Source organism: Homo sapiens, chromosome 10, assembly GCF_000001405.40.
Source record: "Homo sapiens chromosome 10, GRCh38.p14 Primary Assembly".
NCBI lineage: Eukaryota > Metazoa > Chordata > Mammalia > Primates > Hominidae > Homo > Homo sapiens.
Window position 1 is genome coordinate 68,800,877 of NC_000010.11, and position 23,337 is coordinate 68,824,213.

At 45.9% G+C, this 23,337-nt stretch overlaps 3 annotated features.

The window, feature by feature from the left end:
- Positions 1,013 to 1,182: an enhancer, noted in NCBI's record as "experimental_16897 CRE fragment used in MPRA reporter constructs". NCBI's record gives its function as "activates a minimal promoter by MPRAs in K562 erythroleukemia cells, with activity observed for both the introgressed and non-introgressed 10:70561731 variant alleles {active_cell/tissue: K562}" and the evidence as "EXISTENCE:reporter gene assay evidence [ECO:0000049][PMID:34662402]".
- Positions 13,116 to 13,285: an enhancer, noted in NCBI's record as "experimental_16901 CRE fragment used in MPRA reporter constructs". NCBI's record gives its function as "activates a minimal promoter by MPRAs in K562 erythroleukemia cells, with activity observed for both the introgressed and non-introgressed 10:70573834 variant alleles {active_cell/tissue: K562}" and the evidence as "EXISTENCE:reporter gene assay evidence [ECO:0000049][PMID:34662402]".
- Positions 16,957 to 17,126: an enhancer, noted in NCBI's record as "experimental_16907 CRE fragment used in MPRA reporter constructs". NCBI's record gives its function as "activates a minimal promoter by MPRAs in K562 erythroleukemia cells, with activity observed for both the introgressed and non-introgressed 10:70577675 variant alleles {active_cell/tissue: K562}" and the evidence as "EXISTENCE:reporter gene assay evidence [ECO:0000049][PMID:34662402]".

The window sequence follows — 23,337 nt, forward strand, 5'->3', positions numbered from 1 at the left end:
AAATGCAGGTTATTAAAATACTGATCTAGGCCGGGTGCAGTAGCTTACACCTATAGTCCCAGCACATTAGGAGGCTGAGGCAGGCAGATCGCTTGAGCCCAAGAGTTGGAGACCAGCCTGAGCAACATAGTGAAACCTTATCTTTACAAAAAGTACCAAAATTAGCCAGGCATGGTGGTGTGCACCTGTAGTCCCAGCTACTCGGGAGGCTGAGGTGGGAGGATCACTTGAGCCCAGGAGGCGGAGGTCACAGTGAGCCATGATCATGCCACTCCACTCCAGCCTGGGCAAGATCACAAGACCCAATCTCTAAAAAAAGTAAATTTGTGTAATAAAATATAACAAAACTAAATAAGAGGAATTTGCATGCTCTGGTTCACGATCAGTTCTAAATTTTCAGATTGAAGAAAAACTAAAAACAAAATTATACTTGAGATTAGTTTGCTGCAACAGATTACCCTTTGCAAGGGTCATGTAAGAGTTTGGAAAATTGATATAGCAGTTAGTAATCTAAGCTTCATGAAAATTGGTCATCTCATGTTATTTTCCCCATTCTAAAGATGAGAAAATGCAACTAAAGTAAAAAAGTTCACCTTCGTGTCCCCCAGATAAATGGTAAAGGGCTTAATATTTTTCATCATCTGGCTTCACTAAAACCTCAGATCCACTTCCTAATTAAACCTGCCCTCCCAGTCTTTTTATTAAAGTGTGTTTCCAAATGCAGCTCATTGGTTATCTCTAGCCTTTTTGTTTGCCTTCAGGCAGAGAAAGAGCAGAATCTACTGTTAACACGTAAAGAATTAATATTTCATGGCCATTCATTTTCTTTCTTAAATAGATGGACATATTGTAAGCCAGTCCTGGCCACACAAAGACCACTTGCTGTTTCTGGCTATAACATAAATATTTAATTAAAGGAAAAACTACTCTGAGCCATTCTTTTATAAGGCATAAACTATACTAGCTTTGGGCTACACTTTTGCAATTTCCCAAATCCATCTGTTACTTATCCCAGAGTTTTTGCCAGCTTGGAAAACTTAGGAGGCGTATTCACCTGGGTTTTAGAAATGTTTCCAGGAGGCTGGGTGTGGTGGTGCGCGCCTGTAATCCCAGCACTTTGGGAGGCCAAGGCGGGTGGATCATGTGGTCAGGAGTTCGAGACCAGCCTGACCAACATGTTGAAACACCATCTCTACTAAAAACACAAAAATTAGCTGGGCATGGTGGCAAGTGCCTGCAGTCCCAGCTACTCAGGAGGCTGAGGCAGAAGAATCGCTTGAACCTGGGAGGTGGAGGTTGCAGTGAGCCAAGATCATGCCATTGCACTCCAACCTGGGCAACAGAGCGAGACTCCATTTCAAAAAAAAAATGTTTCCAGGAGATGAATGTGCAATCTTTGAGTTGTTATTTCTAGAAGAGAACCATCCAACCGTCACTATAAGATTCTGGATTTGCAGTTAGGCGTGGTGGCATGCACCTGTAGTCCCAGAACTTGGGAGGCTGAGGCAGGAAGATCACTTGAGTCTAGGAGTTCAAGGCTATAGCACACCATGACTGCACCTGCAAATAGCCACTGCACTCCAGCCTGGACAACATAATATGACCTAGTCTCTTAAAAAGAAATCAGAATTTGGAATAAAATGAGAAGTCTGATATTCCAAAGCTAAGCCTTCAGCTCCACAGTTTGTTTCTGTTACAAGGTTTGGTCATGTTTAGTAGCTGGGACCTCCAATAGTCTGCATAAAGATCACCTTGGGAAACGGAAGCCCAGAGGTAATAATCTATGATTCACAAACGTCTTGCTTTCCCAGGCTTTCAGTGTTGCTTCAGCAGTACTCTTATTTTAAATTATTAAGGATTTGTTGTAAATAAATTATTACTTAAAGATTTTTCTTTAGGCCGGGTGCGGTGGCTCACGCCTGTAATCCCAGCACTTTGGGAGGCCGAGGCAGGTGGATCACGAGGTCAGGAGATCGAGACCATCCTGGCTAACATGGTGAAACCCTGTCTCTACTAAAAATACAAAAAATTAGCCGGGCATGGTGGCACGCACCTGTAGTCCCAGCTACTCAGGAGGCTGAGGCAGGAGAATCACTTGAACCCGGGAGGTGGAGGTTGCAGTGAGCCAAGATCGTGCCATTGCACTCCAGCCTGGGTGACAGAGCAAGACTCTGTCTCAAAAAAAAAAAAAAAAAGATTTTTCTTTAATAGCAAACCAGCTCTTGTTTCCTGGGAGCCAATATTTATGTGCTTGGATAGCAAAGGTTTTAAAGTCTTTACTTCATTAGATTCAGTTGCCCAAGATTATGAAGTCACATATATACTTCTGTTTTGATTATAGAGAGAGATGGCAGTTACTTTGTTAATATACCTATATCCAAAATGACACCTGGAAAAAGTAAGAGGTTGAAGTGTCACAGCATAAGAATAAGAGGGGCTGGGTGCGGTGGCTCATGCCTGTAATCCCAGCACTTTGGGAGGCTGAGGCAGGCGGATTGCTGGAGCCCAGGAGTTCGAGAGTAGCCTGGGCAACATGGCAGAAACCCATCTCTATAATATAAAGTAAGAATAAGAGGTTTCCCATGTGGGGCCTGGTGTGGTGGCTTATGCCTGTAATCCCAGCACTTTGGGAGGCTGAGGCGGGTGGATCACTTCGGGTCAGGAGTTTGAGACCAGCCTGGCCAATATGGTGAAACCCCATCTCTACTAAAAAAAAAAAAAAAAAAAAATTGCCAGGAGTGGTGGCATGTGTCTGTAATCCCAGCTACTCAGGAAGCTGAGGCAGGAGAATCGTTTGAACCCAGGAGGTGGAGGTTGCAGTGAGCCAACATTGCACTACTGGACTATGGCCTGGGCAACAGAGTGATACTCTGTCTCAAAAAAAAAAAAAAAAAGGCCTGTCACAGTGGCTCACGCCTGTAATCCCAGCACTTTGGGAGGCCGAGGTGGGCGGATCACAAGGTCAGGAGATGGAGACCATCCTGGCCAACATGGTGAAACCCCGTCTCTACTAAGACTACAAAAATTAGCCGGGTGTGGTAGCACGCGTCTGTAGTCCCAGCTACTCAGGAGGCTGAGGCAGGAGAATCACTTGAACCAGGGAGGCAGAGATTGCAGTGAGCCAAGGTCGCGCCACTGCACTCCAGCTTGGTAACAGAGCAAGACTCCATCTCAAAAAAAAAAAAAAGAATAAGAGACAGGAACCTAATAAAGGTATAGCATATGGGGTTTAGTCAATGTAGATTAATTGATTGATCTGGCTTGCTAAAACAGATTTCATTCCAATAAAAAATTTAAGAAGAATCCAATTTCTCACTTCATTCTATGCTTAAAATAATAAAATAAAGTTGATTCAGGCCAGCTGTGATTTAATGGTGCTTATATTGATGGTAAAACTCTTCATTAAATGTCTTAAAATAGCAGAGTTGAAAGCCTAATAAGCTGCGGAGTTAGAGCCACTCCTGTCTTGTACTGTTCTTAGCCCTAGTCTTGTCCAGCTTAAAATGTCTTCCATACGTAAAGGGACTTTTTAATATTAACTTTTTAATGTAAATTGCTTTGAGCCAATGTATATTATCCCTACTTAATACATATAATTCCATAGATAAGCATATTCTTTCAGGTTAAGGCAAAGATTCTCATACCTTTGCTAACTACCTTCAAAACAATGCAGTCTCTCAAATGAAAATGGTGATATACCCAAATATTAATTGAGAGCATGACAGATGAAAGATAGAACTTTAATAAGTTTGGGATAAGAAAAAATTATTATGACATAACTTTGGAATTTTCTGTCAATAAGATATAATTACAAGATGGATATAAAAAGTTTTGAACTTATAAAACATGTTTCATAGTATAATGTATCATCTTTATTTAGTATTATTTTATCCCTGTCTTAAACCAACCCTCACCCTAAATTATGCTTCACTCAATCATCTTTGGATGTTGTATGATATGGCTTTTCCTCATCTGCCCACTTCATAGGTGAGAACACTGAGGCAATGAACCAGAACAGTGGTGACTTACCTCAGGTCACACATACACTTAGAAGAATGTTTCCTGGCTGAACCATGTAATACCAACTGAAGACCCTCCCCCGCCTCATAAACAATCTAAAATTTTAGATTGCTCTTCTTAGTTATCATGATAGGTGTCAAATAAAGACAAAATATTTTTGATCCTTTTCATAATGAAGTGGAATTCAGAGAATTTTACTAAAAATTATTCTTTGATAGGCTGTCCTATTTTTGGAAAAATAGTTTAGGATAGATCCAGTGTAAGAATGATGTAAGGCTGAGCACGGTGGCTCATACCTGTAATCCCAGCACTTTGGGAAGCCGAGGTGGGCAGATCACTTGAGGTCAGGAGTTCAAGACCAGCCTGGCCAACATGGCGAAACCCTGTCTCAACTGAAAATACTAAAAACAGCCGAGCATGGTGGTGCGTGCCTGTAATGCCAGCTACTTGGGAGGCTGAGACAGGAGAATCGTTTGAACCTGGGAAGTGGAGGTTGCAGTGAGCCGAGATCGTGCCATTGCTCTCCAGCCTGGGCGACAAAGTGAGACTCTGTATCAAAAAAAAAAAAAAAAAAAAAAAAAAAAGAATGATGTAGCTGGCCAAGTGTGGTGGCTCACGCCTGTAATCCCAGCACTTTGGAAGGCCAAGGCGGTAGGATCACTTAAGCCCGGAAGTTTGAGGCTGCAGTGAGTCATGATTGCACCACTGCACTCCAGTCCAGGTGACACAGTGAGACTCCGTCTTTAAAAAAAAAAAAAAGAAAAAAGATGGCCGGGCGTGGTGGTTTACGCCTGTAATCCCAGCACTTTGGGAGGCCGAGGCGAGTGGATCACGAGGTCAGGAGTTTGAGACCAGCCTGACCAACATGGTGAAACCCCGTCTCTACTAAAAATACAAAAATTAGCTGGGTGTGGTGGTGCACACCTGTAATCCCAGCTACTCAGGAGTCTGAGGCAGGAGAACTGCTTGAACTCAGGAGGCAGAGATTGCGGTGAGCCGAGATTGCGCCACGGCACTCCAGCCTGGGCGACAGAGCAAGACGCTGTCTCAAAAGAGAAAAAAAAGAAAGAAACTGATTTGTTGCCACTTCTGCAATAACTTCATCACTCCTTTCTTGCTCACACTGTATTTCTAGTGCCTTAACATGGTTACTATCAGAAACTTATTTTTGAGCATCTACACTGCTGTTTCACAACCAATTGAGGTTTTTTTTTTTTTTGCATTTTTTTGAGACGGAGTCTTGCTGTGTCACCTAGGCTGGAGTTCAGTGGTGTGATCTTGGCTCACTACAACCACCACTTCCTGGGTTCAAGTGATTCTTGTGCCTGAGCTTCCTGAGTAGCTGCAACTGACTACAGGTGGGCGCCACCATGCCCAGCTAATTTTTTGTATTTTTAGTAGAGACAGGGTTTCACCATGTTGGCCAGGCTGGTCTTGAACTCCTGACCTCAAGTGATCTGCCCACCTCACCCTCCCAAAGTGTTGGGATTACAGGCGTGAGCCACTGTGCTCAGCCACCAATTGAGTTAGGTAAAACATTTGAGGGTGAAGAGTGGATGAATGAAAGCTAAGAGGGCAGACATCTTCATTCTGGGCCTGGCAAGGGAATGTGCTAGACATTTGCGTTGGGAAATGGTATATCAATGTAAAAAATGTGAAATAGGGGCCAGAAGATCTCTTGAGGCCAGGAATGTGAGACCAGCCTGGGCACCATCGTGAGACCCCATCTCTACAATAATTTAAAAATTAGCTGGGCATGGTGGTGTGTGCCAGTAGTCTCAGATACTTGGGAGGCTGGGGTGGGAGAAACATTTGAACCTGGAGGTCAAGGCTGGAGTGAGCTGTGATCATGCCACTGCACTCCAGCCTGGGAGACAGAGCAAGACCCTGTATCAAAAAGAGAAAAATTGTGAAATAAAGTTCTTTTTGCTCACTATTCTCCATCCAAACCCACTAAAAATAAAAAAAATAACAAAATAGAGGGAAAACTCCCACCTCCATCAAAAGGGTAGCCACAGCTACTATGAAGTGAAGGTGCAGGCTGAGTTGACACCTCGCTTCTCATACCTTGAAACAATATGCATCTTTTCCACAAGTGCCAGAGTCTTTTTTTTTTTTTTGAGACAGAGTCTCTCTCTGTTGCCCAAACTGTAGTGCAGTGGCACAATCTCGGCTTACTGCAAGCTCTGTCTCCCGGGTTCACGCCATTCTCCTGCCTCAGCCTCCCGAGTAGCTGGGACTACAGGCGCCCGCCACCAGGCCCGGGTAATTTTTTGTATTTTTAGTAGAGACGGGGTTTCACTGTGTTAGCCAGGATGGTCTCGATCTCCTGACCTCGTGATCCGCCCGCCTCAGCCTCCCAAAGTGCTGGGATTACAGGCGTAAGCCACCGCGCCTGGCATGCCAGAGTCTTAAAACGAATATTCTTGGATTCTTGATTAGAGCAGTCTGATAAAACAGCAAGGTCAGGCCACAGGAGAAGCAAATAATATTCTTACAGAGACTCAGTTTCTGTCCGAGAGGTGGAGCTGGGGATAAACCAAACCATCCCCACTATTTGTATGATCTCTGACCTAGCTTCTTAGTTAAGGTGGAGCTTTAGAGGTGGAATGGGGTGAAGGAGATAGTATTATAGCAATAGATAGAAACCCTGTGACCTAAAGGGCTTTGTCTCAATTTTCTTGAATCCTGAGAGGTGAAGAGAGATGTATCCATAGAGCAAAAGAAATAATAGATTTTGGCCAGGCGCAGTGGCTCATGCCTGTAATCCCAGCACTTTGGGAGACCAAGGCAGGTGGATCACGAGGTCAGGAGTTCAAGACCAGCCTGGCCAAGATAGTGAAACCCCGTTTCTAGTAAAAACACAAAAATTAGCCAGGCATGGTGGCGTGTGCCTGTAATCCCAGCTACTCGGGAGGCTGAGGCAGGAGATGAACCCAGGAGATGGAGGTTGCAGTGATGCCAAGATCATGCCACTGTGCTCCAGCCTGGGTGACAGAGCAAGACTCTGTCTGAGGAAAAAAAAATAAGAGCACACTAGATAAATTCTAAAGATGAAATGTACTTCCCTCTAGGTTTTTTGTAATCCTTTGACTCAGTCTAGGTAGTTGTTTTTTTTTTTGTTTTTTGTTCCTTTGAGGAGGAATTAGTTGAGGATAGAGAGTTCCTTTTTTTAAAATTATTTATGAGACAGGGGTCTCGCTATGTTACCAAGACTGATCTCAGACTCCTGGGTACAGGGCATCCTCCCACCTCAGCCTCCAGAGTAGTTGGGACTACAGACATGACACACCACACCTGGCTATAGCTATGGACATTTCTGTGACAGGGTGAGGTTGCCAGTCAGTCCCCAAGAATAGCCAATCTCTGCCCACCTAGAAGCCCAGGCACCTCAGTAAGTCCTCTCAGGCCAGCTCCTCAGCTCCTCAGCGCTTCCTAAGCGCTTGGTGCTCAGCAATGTGAGGACAGTTTTGTTGTCATTTGCTTGCAATTTTTAAAATTGAAATAAAATTCAAATAGCATTAAAGTCACTATTGTTGGCTGGACGTGGTGTCTTATGCCTGTAATCCCAGCACTTTGGGAGGCCAAGGTGGGTAGACTGCCCGAGCCCAGGAGTTTGAGACCAGCCTGGCCAACACGGTGAAACCCTGTCTCTAAGAAAAATACAAAAAAACGAACCAGGCGGGGTGGCATGCGCCTGTAATCCCAGGTACTCGGTAGGCTGAGGTGGGAGAATCACTTGAACCAGGGAGGCAGAGGTTGCAGTGAGCTGAGATCTTGCCACTAGACTCAAGCCTGGGTAACAGAGCAAGACCCTGTCTCTAAATAAATAAATAACTAGAATCATGCAATGTGTGACCTTTTCCATCTGGCTGCTTTCACTTAGTGTGAGGTTTTCTCTCTCTTTTTTCATAAAACAATGGGTCAAAAGAAAGTAGGATGTTTTTGAGATTCATCCATATTATAGCATGTACTGCATTTATTTATTTATTTATTTATTTATTTATTTAAGACTGAGTCTCGCTCTTGTTGCCCAGGCTGGAGTGCAACGGCACAATCTCGGCTCACCACAACCTCCGCCTCCCAGGTTCAAGCAATTCTCCTGCCTTAGCCTCCCGAGTAGCTGGGATTATAGGCATGCACAACGACGCCTGGCTAATTTTGTATTTTTAGTAGAGACGGGATTTCTCCATGTTGAGGCTGGTCTCTAACCCCTGACCTCAGGTGATCCGCCTGCCTCGGCCTCCCAAAGTGCTGGGATTACAGGCGTGAGCCACTGCGCCCGGCTCTTCATTTGTTTTATTTTATTTTATTTGAGATGGAATTTAGCTCTTGTCGCCCAGGCTCGAGGGCAATGGCATGATCTCAGCTCACTGCAACCTCCACCTCCCGGGTACAAGCGATTCTCCTGCCTCAGCCTCCCAAGTAGCTGGCTATGATTATAGGCATGCGCCACCATGCCCGGCTAATTTTGTATTTTTAGTAGAGACGGGGTTTCTCCATGTTGATCAGGCTGGTCTCAAACTCCCGACCTCAGGTGACCTGCCCGCCTCGGCCTCCCAAAGTGCTGGGATTACAGGCATGAGCCACCGCGCCCGGCTCTTTATTTATTTTTTATGGATGAGTAATTGTGTGGACAAACCTCATTTATCCATTCTTCAATTGAGGGACATTTGCACTGTTTCCACTTGTGGACTATTATGAATAATGCTGCTATGAGGATTCATGCACACATTTTTGTGTGGACATATGTTTTCATTTCTCTTGGATATATAGCTAGGAATGGAATTGCTGGGTCATCCATTGAGTTTTTTAATGTCTTCTTTTTTTTAATTCAAATATTTTAATTTGGTTCTTTTTTGTATCTTCCATTGCTCAGGGTTTTTTGTTTGTTTGTTTTTGTTTTTGTTTAGACAGAGTTTCATTCTATTGCCCAGGCTGGAGTGCAGTGGGGCGATCTCCGCTCAACCTTCACCTCCCAGGTTCAAGTAATTCACCTGCCTCAGCCTTCCAAGTAGCTGGGACTACAGGTGCATGCCACCACACCTAGCTAGTTTTTTTTTTCATTTTTGGTAGAGAGAGGGGTTTCACCAAGTTGGCCAGGCTAGTCTCGAACTCCTGGCCTCAAGTGATCCACCCATTTCGGCCTCCCAAAGTGCTGGGATTAACAGGCGCCAGCCACCATGCCCGACCAAGGTTTTTTATTTCTTTGCTGAGACTTTTTTTAAGTGAAAGCAAGTTTGTTAGAGAAGCAAAGAAATAAAAGAATGGCTACTCCACAGATAGAGAAGCCCCAAGGGCTGCTGGTTGGCTATTTTTTTTTTTTTTTTTGAGATGGAGTCTCGCTCTGTCGCCCAGGCTGGAGTGCAGTGGCGTGATCTCGGCTCACTGCAAGTTCCGCCTCCCGGGTTCACGCCATTCTCCTGCCTCAGCCTCCCGAGTAGCTGGGACTACAGGCGCCCGCCACCGCGCCCGGCTAATTTTTTTGTATTTTTAGTAGAGATGGGGTTTCACCATGTTAGCCAGGATGGTCTCGATCTCCTGACCTCATGATCCGCCCGTCTTGGCCTCCCAAAGTGCTGGGGTTACAGCTGTGAGCCACCGCGCCTGGCCCGGCTATTTTTATGGTTATTTCTCTATCATATACTAAACAAGGGGTGAATTATTCACGAGTTTTCCAGGAAAGGGGCAAGAATTTCCAGGAACTGAGGTTTCCTCCCCCTTTTAGACCACATAGGTACATTGCCATGTCATTTGTAAGCTGTCATGGTGCTAGTGGGAGTGTCTTTTAGCATGCTAATATATTATAATTAGCGTATAATGAGCACGAGGACAATCAGAAGTTGCTTTCTTTGTCATCTTGGATTTTTTTTGTTCCCTGGGATTGAGTGCCACTCTGTCACCCAGGCTGGAGTGCAGTGGTGCGATTCTCATGCCTCAGCCTCCCGAGTAGCTGGGATTACAGGTGCCTGTTGCCACACCCAGCTAATTTTTGGTATTTTTAGTGGAGATGGGGTTTCATCATGTTGGCCAGGCTGGTCTCGATCTCCTGACCTCATGATTCGCCCACCTCAGCCTCCCAAACTGCTGGGATTACAGGCGTGAGCCACCACGCCCGGCCTCAAGTGTGTTTTCGTTGTTGTAGTTTAGAGACGGGGTCTCTCTGTGTTGCCCAGGCTGGTCTTGAACTCCAGGATTCAAGTGATCTCACTGCCTCAGCCTTCCCAGTAGCTGGGACTATAGGCAACTTGCCTGGCACAATCATGTTCTTAATTGCTCACTGAAGTATTTTTACGATGGCTGCTATAAGTGTTACTGGAATGGGGTCCTGATCCAGACCCCAAGAGAGGAAATAATTCGAGGCCAACCCATAGAGTGCAGTGAAAGCAAATTTATTAGGAAAGTAAAGGGAAAAGCAATGGCTACTCTACAGGCGGAGCAGTAACACGGCTGCTGGACTAAGGATACTTACAGTTATTTCTCAATTATGTGCTAAACAAGGGGTGGGTTATTCATGAATTTTCTGGGAAAGAGGTGGCAATTCCCAGAACTGAGGGCTCCTCCCTCTTTTATTTATTTATTTAATTAAAAAAATTTTTTTCCTCCACCTTTCAGACCATATAGGGTAACTTCCTGACGTTGCCATGGCATCTGTAAACTGTCATGGTGCTGGTGGGAGTGTCTTTCAGCATGCTAATGCATTATAATTAGCATATAATGAGGAGTGAGGATGACCAGAGGTCACTCTCATGGCCATCTTGGTTTTGGTAGGTTTTGGCCAGCTTCTTTACCCCAACCTGTTTTATCAGCAAGGTCTTCGTGACCTGTATCTTGCGCTGATCTCCTATCTCATCCTGTGACTTAGAATGCCCAGCCTCCTGGGAATGCTGCCCAGAAGATCTCAGTCTTATTTTACTCAGCCCCTATTCAAGATAGAGTTCCTCTGGTTCAGACGCCTCTCACATAAGTCCTTGTCAGATCATTCTAACATCTGTGTCATGCCTGCGTTTGTATCTGTCCTTTTTTCTTTCTTTCTTTTCTTTTTTTTTTCAAGACAGAGTCTTGTTCTATTGCCCAGGCTGGAGGCAGTGGCATGACCTCAGCTCACTGCCATCTCTACCTCCTGGGTTCAAGTGCTTCTCATGCCTCAGCCTCCCAAGTACCTGGGATTATAGGCACATGCTACCATGCTAATTTTTCCATTTTTTGGTAGTGACGGGGATTCGTCATGTTGGCCAGGCTGGTCTTGAATTCCTGGCCTCAAGTGATCCACTCGCCTCGGCCTCCCAAAGTGCTGGGATTATAGGCATGGGCCACTTCGCACAGCCAGAGTCTGTTCTTGTTCACTTCGAGATCTTCCTGGTTTTTGGTATGACAAGTGGTCTGTAATTGAAACCTGGACATTTTGATATTGTAAAACTCTGGGTTTTATTTAAATCTGGTATTTTAGCCAATACCACTCAAACCTCTGACACCACTCTAGTGGGAGAAAACGGTTGCCACCTTTTTACTGCCAGATCAGGGTGGAAGTCCAGGTTTTCCACTCAGGCACCCTTGACAGTGAAAGGAGAGACAAGTGGGAGGTTGTTGGTGCCTCTGGGTGGGGAGAGAAGTTCAGGCTGTCCACTAGGCCTCTGCTGGTACCACCTTGGCTAGGAAGTAGAAGGGCTCCTTGTTACTGCTTTCCACGTGGCCTCCACTGACACTGCAGAGGGTGGCCTTGTTATTGCAGAGCTGTGGTCAAAGTCCTCACTCCACTAGGCTGCCTCTGACACTACCTCAGTGGGGACGGGAAGGGGTTCTCCCCATGCGGAGCTTGAATTTCTATCCCTAGCTGGTACCAGTAGAAGTCCGAGCTCCCCATGTGGTCTCCTCTGACACTGTCTGGGATGGGGTGCTCCCCACTGTGCCTTCTCCATCACCACTGCACAAGTTGGGTGGGGCATGAGGACAACTGGGGATACATCTTTACAACCTGGCAAGGGTGGCAGTCTAGGCTCTCCAACTGGCCTTTACTTGTGAGATGTGGGTGGAGCCAGTTTTTTTCTATGAGGTTTAGCTAGAGTAGAGTGGGTATCATGTATAAGTTTTCAGTCTTGAGGCCAGGTGCTGTGGCTCACGCCTGTAATCCTAGCACTTTGGGAGGCCGAGGTGGGTGGATCTTGAGGTCAGGAGATCGAGAACATCCTGGCTAACACGGTGAAACCCTGTCTCTACTAAAAATACAAAAAATTAGCTGGGCGTAGTGGTGGGCACCTGTAGTCCCAGCTACTCGGGAGGCTGAAGCAGGAGAATCGCTTGAACCCAGGAGGTGGAGATTGGAGTGAGCTGAGATCGTGCCACTGCACTCCAGCCTGGGCAAAAGAGTGAGACTCCGTCTCAAAAAAAAAAAAAAAAAAAAAAAGTGGTAATAGGCCTGGGTGCAGTGGCTCACACCTGTAATCCCAGTACTTTGGGAGGCCAAGGCAGGTGGATCACCTGAGGTCAGGAGTTCAAGACCAGCCTGGTCAACATGGTGAAACCCCATCTCTACTAAAAATACAAAAAATTAGCCGGGTGTGGTTGCAGGCACCTGTATTCCCAGCTAATAGGGAGGTTGAGGCAGGAGAATCCCTTGAACCCAGGAGGCAGAGGTTGCAGTGAGCCAAGATTGTGCCATTGCACTCCAGCCTGGGCAACAAGAGGGAAACTCAGTCTCAAAAAAAAAAAAAAAAAAGTAATAGGTGGAATGTGAGAAGGGAGAAAGCAACAGTTTGTTTTTCAATTAATTTCAGGGTGAGAGGAAAGAGAGCCAAGGCATGCTTTCTCCCCTCCCATAAGAAAGCAGAAAAAAGAGAAAGTTGGGGCTAGAGGGCAGGGTCTTCACTGGAAACAGAGTTCCTTTGAGATCTGGGCACCTGGAGTGCAGCCAGCTCATTTTTGATGGGATTTGCATGTAAATAGTGGGATATGAGGCCCAGCTTTACACCCTCTGTTATAATAAAACCAAAGAGAAGTGGTTTCTCCTTTATAATCCTGAAACTAGGTTTGGCATCTTGCCTTAGGCTTTCATACTTTCTTCTTTTTTTTTTTTTGGTAGCCGGAAGGGTTAGTCTGATTTTCCATGTTTCAAATTATAAGAATTTTGCTAACTTGCTCCTGTGCCAGGGGGCTTGGTTGCAAGCTTTCTTGACAGACTGGGGCTCTAGCATTCTTTCAAGGAAGTAACATTTTTAGGCTTTGAGACCTGCCATTTGACCCCAAGTCTAATGGGGTGATAGAATGGTGGGGTCTCCTCATTTTGGTTAGAAAGCTTATTGGCTTTGATGGCCCCAAGTGCAGGAGAGCCAGCTGCCTTAACTTCCTTCAAACCAAAAATTATTGAGGCCTTTCTTTGTTGTAGAATTTTTGGAAAGTATAGAAAAGCTCAAAGAAAGAAAGAAAGAAAGAAAATTGCTGTAATCTCACCACCCAGAATAATTTCTGTTAACATAATGATCATTATTCCAATCCTCAATCAATCCTCCTCAAACATTATGGGATGTTTTCAATGCTTCGTGGGTGTTTGTTCTTTTAAGAAAGTGGGGAAAGGCAGAGTACTGGGAAGTGTGAACTGGCTCCTCACCTCAGAATCAAAGGATTTTCCTGTAATCCCAGCACTTTGTGAGGCTGAGGCGGGCAGATGACTTGAGCTCAGGAGTTCGTGACCAGCCTGGGAAACAAAGTGAGACTCCCCCTGTCTCTACAAAAAATACAAAAATTAGCCGGGCATGGTGGCGCATGCCTGTGGTCCCAGCTACTAGGAAGGCTGCAATGGGAGGATGGCTTGAGCCTGGGAGGCAGAGGTTGCAGTGAGCTGAGATTATACCACTGTACTCTAGCCTGGGCAACAGAGTGAGACCCTGTCTCCAAAAAAGAAAGAAAAGAAAGAAAAAAAAGATTTCTACAGACCCTGCTTCTACAAAAAAAAAAAAAAAAAAAAAACAACAACAAAAAACCCAAAAACAAAAATTAGCTGGTCATGCTGGTGGCATTCCTGTAGTCCCAGCTACTTGGGAGGCTGAGGTGGGAGGATCGCTTTAGCCTGGGAGGTCGAGACTGTAGTGAGCCAAGATTGCACCACTGCACTCCAGCCTGGGTGACAGAACTAGACCTTACCCCTGCTCACCCCAAAAAAGGATTTCTAGTAGTCAACTTTTCACTGTTCCAACTAAGAATCTTTTTTTCTCCAATAAATATATATATATATTTTTGGCCTCTTGCCACTGACCATTGCAAAGACAAAGCAAATGAATTATTTTTTTCTTTTCTTTTCTTTTTTTTTTTTTTTTTGAGACAGAGTCTTGCTCTGTCACCCAGGCTGGAGTGTAGTGGCATGACCTCAGCTCACTACATCCTCCACTTCCTGGGTTCAAGTGATTCTCCTGCCTCAGCCTCCTGAGTAGCTGGGATTACAGGTGCCTACCACCATGCCCATCTAATTTTTTTGTATTTTTAGTAGAGAAGAGGTTTCTCTATGTTGGCCAGGCTGGTCTCAAACTCCTGACTTCAGGTGATCCACCCACCTAGGCCTCCCAAAGTGCTGGGATTACAGTTGTGAGCCACTGCGCCGGGCCAAATGGAATAAATGTTTTAAAAAGGTATTAAATGTCCTTCCCTAACAAAGTCTCCTTTGATCAAAACTTTAGTTGAACTCTTCTGAGTCCCTTCTGACTAGGCCTCACACTGGACTTCCCTCTCTGTCCTTGTGGAATCCAGTTTGAGCGAGAATCGTCAATTTAGTGAAAATCGCCTACCCTCGATACCTGACCACCCTCACTATCTTATTACCCTGTCCTGCTTTCAGCAAGAATTTTGTTGAGTTGTTTTAACAAGGATCCCACTTAGAGGCTGGGCGGGGTGGCTTACACCTGTAATCCCAGCACTTTGGGAGGGCAAGGCAGGCAGATTACTTGAGGTGATGAGTTCGAGACCAGCCTGGCCAACATGGAGAAATACCTTCTCTATCAAAAAACACAAAAATTAGCCAAGCGTGATGGTGTCCGCCTGTAATCCCAACTACTCGGGAGGCTGAGGTAGGAGAATCACTTGAACCCATGAGGCGGAGGTTGCTGTGAGCCGAGATAGCCCCACCGCACTCCAGCCTGGGTGAGAGTGAGACCCCCTCTCAAAAAGAAAGAAAGGAAAAAGAATCCTACTTACCCTTGATGTTTCCTCTTAGTAACTTTCCTTGTTGGACAAGAGGGGAGTCGAGTCCCCTCCCTCCCCCACTGCAAGACCCCATTGCAGTAGTTCCTATACCTATCGCCATGGTCTCCCTAAATAAAGCCTTCCTGTTACTATCTTTAGCAAGGGTCACAAATGTCTTTTTCTTTAACATCCCCTGCCCCTCATCTCCTTTTCTCTCTCTTTTTTTTTTTTTTGAAATGGAGTCTTGCTCTGTCGCCAGGCTGGAGTGCAGTAGTGCCATCTCGGCTCACTGCCAGCTCCGCCTCCCAGGTTCAAGCGATTCTCCTGCCTCAGCCTCCCGAGTAGCTGGGACTACAGGCACATGGCACCAAGCCCGGCTAATTTTTATATTTTTTAGTAGAGACAGGGTTTCACCGTGTTGGCCAGGATGGTCTCGATCTCTTGACCTCGTGATCTGCCCACCTTGGCCTCCCAAAGTGCTGGGATTACAGGCGTGAGCCACCCTGCCCAGCCTTTTCTCTTTTTCTTTAACATCCCCTGCCCTTCAACTCCTTTGAGTCAACACAGTTGTTTAGCAAAGCCTCACATTTCCTTCTGAGAACTAGAAAGAAGCGTCTCCAGGTTTGTTTGTTTGTTTGCTTCCTGGGCAAGGGGAAGAAAGGTGCTGTAGAAGAGGAAATGGTTCTAATAAAGATAATCCAGATAGGAAATGCTTTCTAAATCAGCCTTAAGTGTCAAGGCTTGTCGGAGTTAAGGGAAGGGAACTTCAGCTTATGAATTTTGGTATGAAAAAAATCTGAGGTTGTGAATCCAAACATCATCCTGAGTACATATGTGCTATAAACAGACTCCAGAGAAACTACGGACATCCAAATGTCTGGGTATGTGAGGAGACCTGTTCCTTGAGGCTCTATCCTGGACATTGACTATTGGATAACCGAGTGATTCACCCTCTAAACCAGAAATGCTCCTGTGTATGGTAAACCAGGCTAGTGAGAAAGCAGCAAAAACAGTATTATTTTGTAACAAGTACTAATTAAATTTGATTTGATTCAGGTTGAAGAAATCCTTGTGCCTGACACTAGGCTCGGTGCCAGGGCCCTCAAGGAATCTCAGGTTGCCTGATGAGACAGGTAACTACATATTATAGCTCTTATCAGACAATCTAACAGGGCTAAAAGTTAAAAGGGTTAACAACATCTTGGAGAGCAGATGAAATTTTTCTGTATGTGTCACAGATTTTATGAGCTGGGTTTTGTAGGATAATACCTGGTGGAAAGGGGCAAAGGCCTTCTAGGCAGAAGAAATAATGTGAGCAAAGATGGTGGGAGCATGTGCTCTTGGAAGGTTTGTACTGTGTGGCGGGAGCATGAGGTCCTCGGTGTGGACTAGGAGAGCACTGATGGAAGTGGAAATGAAGCTAAAAGGGCAGGCTAGGGTCCAGAGTGTGAAAAACACTGATTGCCTTACTTAGGAGAGGTATAAGGCATACATGAATATCAACAGGTCAAACTTATCTTCTGTAGAGGTTATAATAAAGCAGGTATGAATTTGTTTCCCTTCAGGTTGAGTTTTCTTTTTCTTTACTTTCTTTTTTTTTTTGAGACAGGGTCTCACTGTGTGGCCCAGGCTGGAGTGCAGTGGTGAGATCACAGTTCACTGCTGCCTCGACCTCCCAGGTTCAAGAGATCCTCCCACCTCAGCCTCCGAGTAGCTGGGACTACAGACACACACCAGCATGCCTGGCTAATTTTTAAAAATAGTTTTGTAGAGATGGGGGTCTACTATGTTGTCTAGGCTGGTCTTGAACTTCTGGGCTCAAGTGATCCTCCTGCCTCAGCTTCTCAAAGTGTTGGGATTACAGGCATGAGTCACTGCACCTGGCCTCAAGTTGAGTTTTCTTTTTTTTTTTTTTTTTTGAGACAGAGTCTTGCTCTGTCGCCCAGGCTGGAGTGCAGTGGCGTAATCTTGGCTAACTGCAAGCTCTGCCTCCTGGGTTCACGCCATTCTCCTGCCTCAGCCTCCCAAGTAACTGGGACTACAGGCTCCTGCCACCATGCCCAGCTAATTTTTTACATATTTTAGTAGAGATGGAGTTTCACCATGTTAGCCAGGATGGTCTCGATCTCCTGACCTCGTGATCCACCCACCTCGGCCTCCCAAAGTGCTGGGATTACAGGCATGAGCCACCGTGCCTGGCCCTCAAGTTGAGTTTTCTAAACCAAATAAAATCTGACTCCCAGCCCCAGAAAATGGGGAAAGGCACCCTGATGCTTATGATGGTTACCTTAGTACCTGCGGCCATGGGGTACGGATGTGGAGGGCTACTCCTCCACCTCCACCAACCACCAAGCTCCAAAGCTCTATGTTGGCTCAAAAAGGCCCTACAATGGTCCTTACTGCATTGCCTCAGAGACATCTTGGAGTCTAGTCTCCATAAGCACAGGCAAGTTTCCCTCCATATGGCATACTCCTGGGGTCACTCTCTCAGTTCATTGTAAGGCACTGGCCACCTCTCATTCCCTCCTCTCTAGGATAAGCCATCTTAATCTTCCTCAATGATTCTTTTTTTTTTTTTTTTTTTTTTTTGAGATGGAGTTTTGCTCTTGTTGCCCAGGCTGGAGTGCAATAGTGCAATCTCGGCTCACTGCAACCTCCACCTCCCAGGTTCAAGTGATTCTGCTGCCTCAGCCTCTCAAGTAGCTGGGATTACAGGCACGAGCCACCATGCCTGGCTAATTTTGTGTTTTTAGTAGAGACAGGATTTCTACATGTTGGTCAGGCTGGTCTCAAACTCCCGACCTCAGGTGATATGCCCACCTCAGCCTCCCAAAGTGTTGGGATTACAGTTGTGAGCCACTGCTCCAGGCCCAACGGTTCTTTTTTTAGACAGGGTCTCACTCTGCCGCCCAGGCTGGAGTGCAGTGGCGTGATCTTGGCTCACTGCAGCCTCAACCTCCCGGGCTCAAGCAATTTTCCCACCTCAGCCTCCCAAGTAGCTGAGACTACAGGTGTGAGCCACTACGCCCAGCTAATTTTTTGTAGATATGGGGTTTTGCTATGTTGCCCAGCCTGGTCTTGAACTCCTGAGCTCAAGCAATCTTCTTGCCTGGGCCTCCCAAAGTGCTGGGATTATAGGCATGAACCACTGTACCCAGACCTTCAATGGTTCTGAAGCGGAAAACCCTTCTTTTTTTTTTTTTTTTTTTTTGAGACAGAGTCTTGCTCTGTCACCCAGGCTGGAGTGCAATGAATGGTGCAATCTCTGCTCACGGCAACCTCTGCCTCCTGGGGCCAAGCAATTCTCCTGCCTCAGCCTCCCAAGTAGCTGGGACTACAGGTGCGCAACACCATACCTAATTTTTTGTATTTTTAGTAGAGATGGGGTTTCACCATGTTGGCCAGGCTGGTCTCGAACTCTTGACCTTGTGATCCACCCACGTAGGCCCCCCAAAGTGTCGGGATTACAGGCGTAAGCCACCATGCCCGGCTCTTTGTTTTGTTTTTTGTTTTTGAGACAGGGTTTCACTCCCTTCACCTAGTCTGGAGTGCAGTGGTGCAATCTCAGCTCACTATAGCCTCGACCTCCTGGGCTCAGGTTTCTCCCACCTCAGCCTCCAGAGTAGTTGGGACTACAGGCGTGTGTCCCACCATGCTTGGCTAATTTTTGTATTTTCAGTAGAGATGGGATTTTGCCATGTTGGCCAGGCTGGTCTTGAACTCCCGGGATCAAGCAATCACTGCCTTACCCTCTTAGTGTTGGGATTACAGGTATGAGCCACCGCACCCGGCCTTGCTCTTTTTTTTTTTTTTTTTTTTTAAACAAAACAAAACAAAACAAACCTTTTATATTAGGTTCAAGGGTACATGTGCAGGTTTGTTATACAGGTAAATTGCATGTCACAGGGGTTTGGTGTGCAGATTATCTCATCACCCAGGTAATAAGCATAGTAGCTGATGGGTAGTTTTTCAATCCTCTCACTCCTCCTGCCCTCCAACCTAAAGTAAGCCTCTGTCTGTTGTTCCTTTCCTTGTATCCATGTGTACTCAATGTTTAGCGCTGACTCATTTTTATTTTATTTTTATTTTTATTTTTATTTTGAGACAGAGTCTCACTCTGTCACCCAGGCTGGAGTGAGTGGCACAATCTTGGCTCACTGCAACCTCCGCCTCCTGGGTTCAAGGGGTTCTCCTGTCTCAGCCTCCTGCGTAGCTGAAATTACAGGAGTGTGCTATTTGTGTGTGTGTGTGTTTTTAGTAGATATGGGGTTTCACCATGTTGGCCAGGCTGGTCTTGAACTCCTGCCCTCAAGTGATCCACCTGCCTCAGCCTCCCAAAGTGCTGGCATTACAGGTGTGACCCACCATGCCCGGCCTAGCTCCCACTTATAAGTCAGAACATGTAGTATTTGGTTTTCTGTTCCTGTGTTAGTTTGCATAGGATAATGGCCTCCAGCTCCATCCATGTTGCTGCAAATGATATGATCTTGTTCCTTTTTATGGCTATGTAGTATTCCATGGTGCATATGTACATTTTCTTTATCCAATCTGTTCATGGTCATTTAAGTTGACTCCATGTCTTTCTTATTGTCCCAAAACTCTTTATAGATCCTGTGTCCTGTCCCATGAAAGCCCACTGTACTTTTGGAGTCAATAGCAAATTGGATGAGCTAAATAAATCTTCACAAATAATGTGATAATGGGAGAGGCAATGTATGTACCCTTTTTTTTTGAGACGGAGTCTCACCGGCCCCCCCGCTGAAGTGCAGTGGCGTGATCTTGGCTCACTGCAACCTCTGCCTCCCAGGTTTAAGCAATTCTCTGCCTCAGCCTCCTGAGTAGCTGGGATTATAGGTGCCCACCACCACGTCCAGCTAATTTTTGTATTTTTTAGTAGAGACAGGGTTTCACCATCTTGGCCAGGCTGGTCTCGAACTCCTGACCTTGTGATCAGCCCACCTCGGCCTCCCAAAGTGTTGGGATTACAGGCATAAGCCACCGCGCCTGGCCATATGTACCCTTAAAAGTGGACTTTGGAGACATCTCCTTTCCTAGGCTGGAGCTGTCTGGGCAGGGATTTCAGGCCTGACAAGATGGGCAAGAGAGATCATGTGGAAACAGGAGAGAAGTAAATTTTTATAAAATTACTCTGGAGGGAATAAATTGGACAGTCAAACTCAACATGGACAGTCATTCTCAAAATGACCAAAGCTGATCTCTTAATGTCCTGATACATGTTTTTAAATAACTTTTTAAAAATTTGAACTTAAATTTTTTATTTTATAAATAGAGATGGAGTCTTGCTGTATTATCCAGGCTGGTCTTGAAGAACTCCTGACCTCAAATGCTCCTCCTGCCTCAGCCTCCCAAAGCGCTAGGATTATAGGCATGAGCCACTGCACCAGGCCTTACTTTTATTTCTTTTGAGAGGGAGTCTTGCCATGTTGCCCAGGCTGGAGTGCAGTGGCTATTCACAGATGCAATCATAGTTCACTTCACTTTGGAACTCCAGGGTTCAAGCCATCCTCCCGCCTCAGCCTCCTGAGTAGCTGGGACTACCACAGCATCCAGCTTTCAAACTTTTTTTTTTTTTTTTGAGACAGAGTCTCACTCTGTCGCCCAGGGTGGAGTAGAGTGGTACGATTTTGGCTCACTGCAACCTGTCTCCCAGGTTCAAGTGATTCTCCTGCCTCAGGCTCCCGGGTAGCTGGACTAGAGGTGCCCGCCACTACACCAGGGTAATTTTTGTGTTTTTAGTAGAGATGTAGTTTCACCGTGTTGGCCAGGCTGGTCTTGAACTCCTGGCCTCAGGTAATGCGTCTGCCTCGGCCTCCCAAAGTGCTGGGATTACAGGCATGAGCCACAGTGCCTGGCCTGAAACTTTTTAATGACTACATAGTAGAATCACTGGATTTTATATAGTGTTTAGAATCCTTGGCCGGGAGCAGTGGCTCATGCATGTAATCCCAGCACTTTTGGAGGCAGAGGCGGGCAGATTACCTGAGGTCAGGAGTTCAAGACCAGCCTGGGCAATGTGTCCAGAACTGGTTCCTTCCGGTGGGTTCCTGGTCTCGCTGACTTCAAGAATGAAGCCGTGGACCCTCACGGTGAGTGTTAAAGTTCTTTTTTTTTTTTTTTGAGACGGAGTCTCACTCTGTCGTCAGGCTGGCGTGCAGCAGCACAATCTCCGGCTCACTGCAACCTCTGCCTCCCGGGTTCAAGCGATTCTCCTGCCTCAGCCTCCTGAGTAGCTGGGATTACAAGCGCATGCCACCACACCCAGCTAATTTTTGTATTTTTAGTAGAGACGGGGTTTCCTCATGTTGGCTAGGATGGTCTCGATCTATTGACCTCGTGATCCTCCCGCCTCGGCTGCCCAAAGTGCTGGGATTACAGGCATGAGCCACCACGCCTGGCCCAAAGTTCTTAAAGATGGTGTGTCCGGAATTTGCTCCTTCAGATGTTCAGATGTGTCCAGAGTTTCTTCCTTCTGGTGGGTTTGTGGTCTCGCTGGCTTCAGGAGTGAAGCTGCAGACCTTCGCAGTGAGTGTTACAGCTCATAAAGGCAGTGCCTACCCAAAGAGTGAGCAGCAGCAACATTTATTGCAAAGAGCAAAAGAACAAAGCATCCACGGCATGGAAGGGGACCCAAGCCAGTTGCCACTACTGGCAGGGGTAGCCTGTGTTTATTCCCTTATTTGGCCCCACCCACATCCTGCTGATTGGTCCATTTTACAGAGAGCTGATTGTCCATTTTACAGAGTGCTGATTGGTCCATTTTTACAGAGTGCTGATTGGTGCATTTACAAACCTTTAGCTAGACACAGAGCGCTGACTGGTGCATTTACAATCCTTTAGCTAGACAGAAAAGTTCTCCAAGTCCCCACTTGATTAGCTAGACACAGAGCACTGACTGGTGCATTTACAAACCTTTAGCTAGACACAGAGTGCTGATTGGTGCATTTACAATCCTTTAGCTAGACATAAAAGTTCTCCAAGTGCCCACCCGACCTGGAAGCCCAGCCGGCTTCACCTCTCAGCAACATGGTGAAACCCAGTCTCTACTAAAAATACAAAAATTAGCCAGATGCAGTGGTGGGCTCCTGTAATCCCAGCTACTCTGGAGGCTGAGGTAGGAGAATTGCTTAAACCTGGGAGGTGGAGGTTGCAGTGAGCCAAGATCGTGCCACTACACTCCAGCCTGGGCAACAGAGTGAGACTCTGTCTCAAAAAACAACAACAAAAAAGAATACTCCATATTTCTCAGGCATACAGAGACCATTGCAAATATAAGATAAAAAATAATTCCATCTTGACATTTTTTAGTTCCAATGTGACTTGACTACTCATGTGCCACTTTAAGTGAAGAATGATACTAATTCTTTTTAAATGCTTCTTTGTCTGATCTGCAGAGATCACAAAGATGGAAAGCCCTTAAGCATTTCTGTTTCTTGGCCAGGCGTGGTGGCTCATGCCTGTAATCCCAGCACTTCTGGAGGCCAAGGCGGGCGAATCACCTGAGATCGGAAGTTCGGGACTATCCTGACCAACATGGTGAAACCCCATCTCTACTAAAAATACAAAAATTAGCTGGGTATAGTGGTGGGCGCCTGTAATCCCAGCTACTTGGGAGGCTGAGGCAGGAGAATCACTTGAACCTGGGAGGCGGAAGTTGTAGTGAGCCGAGATGGCACCATTGCACTCCAGTCTGGGCAACAGAGTGAGACTCCATCTCAAAAAAAAAAAAAAAAAGATTTTCTGTTTCTCTAGTTATGCCATGGAACACAAAACCATTCAGGTCAGAGGCCCACAGCTTCTCATTTAACTTTTAAGACATACTCCATTTTGTAGGAGCTTGGGGATATTCAGGAAGTAGCTGACCCTTTAGGGAAAAAATGGCTAAGTATTTGGCTGTAGTTTAAAATTTTTCTCCTTAAATTATCTTCCTCTTCTTTTGTTAATTGGACTGTTAATTGAACTAGCTTAAGTAAAATGATAAGAGAATTTCAGCTGGGCATAGTGGCTCATGCCTATAATCCCAGCACTTTGGGAGGCCGAGGCAGGCAGATTGCTTGAGCTCAGCAGTTTGAGACCAGCCTGGGCAACATGGCAAAACCCCATCCTACAAAAAGTGCAAAAAAATTAGCT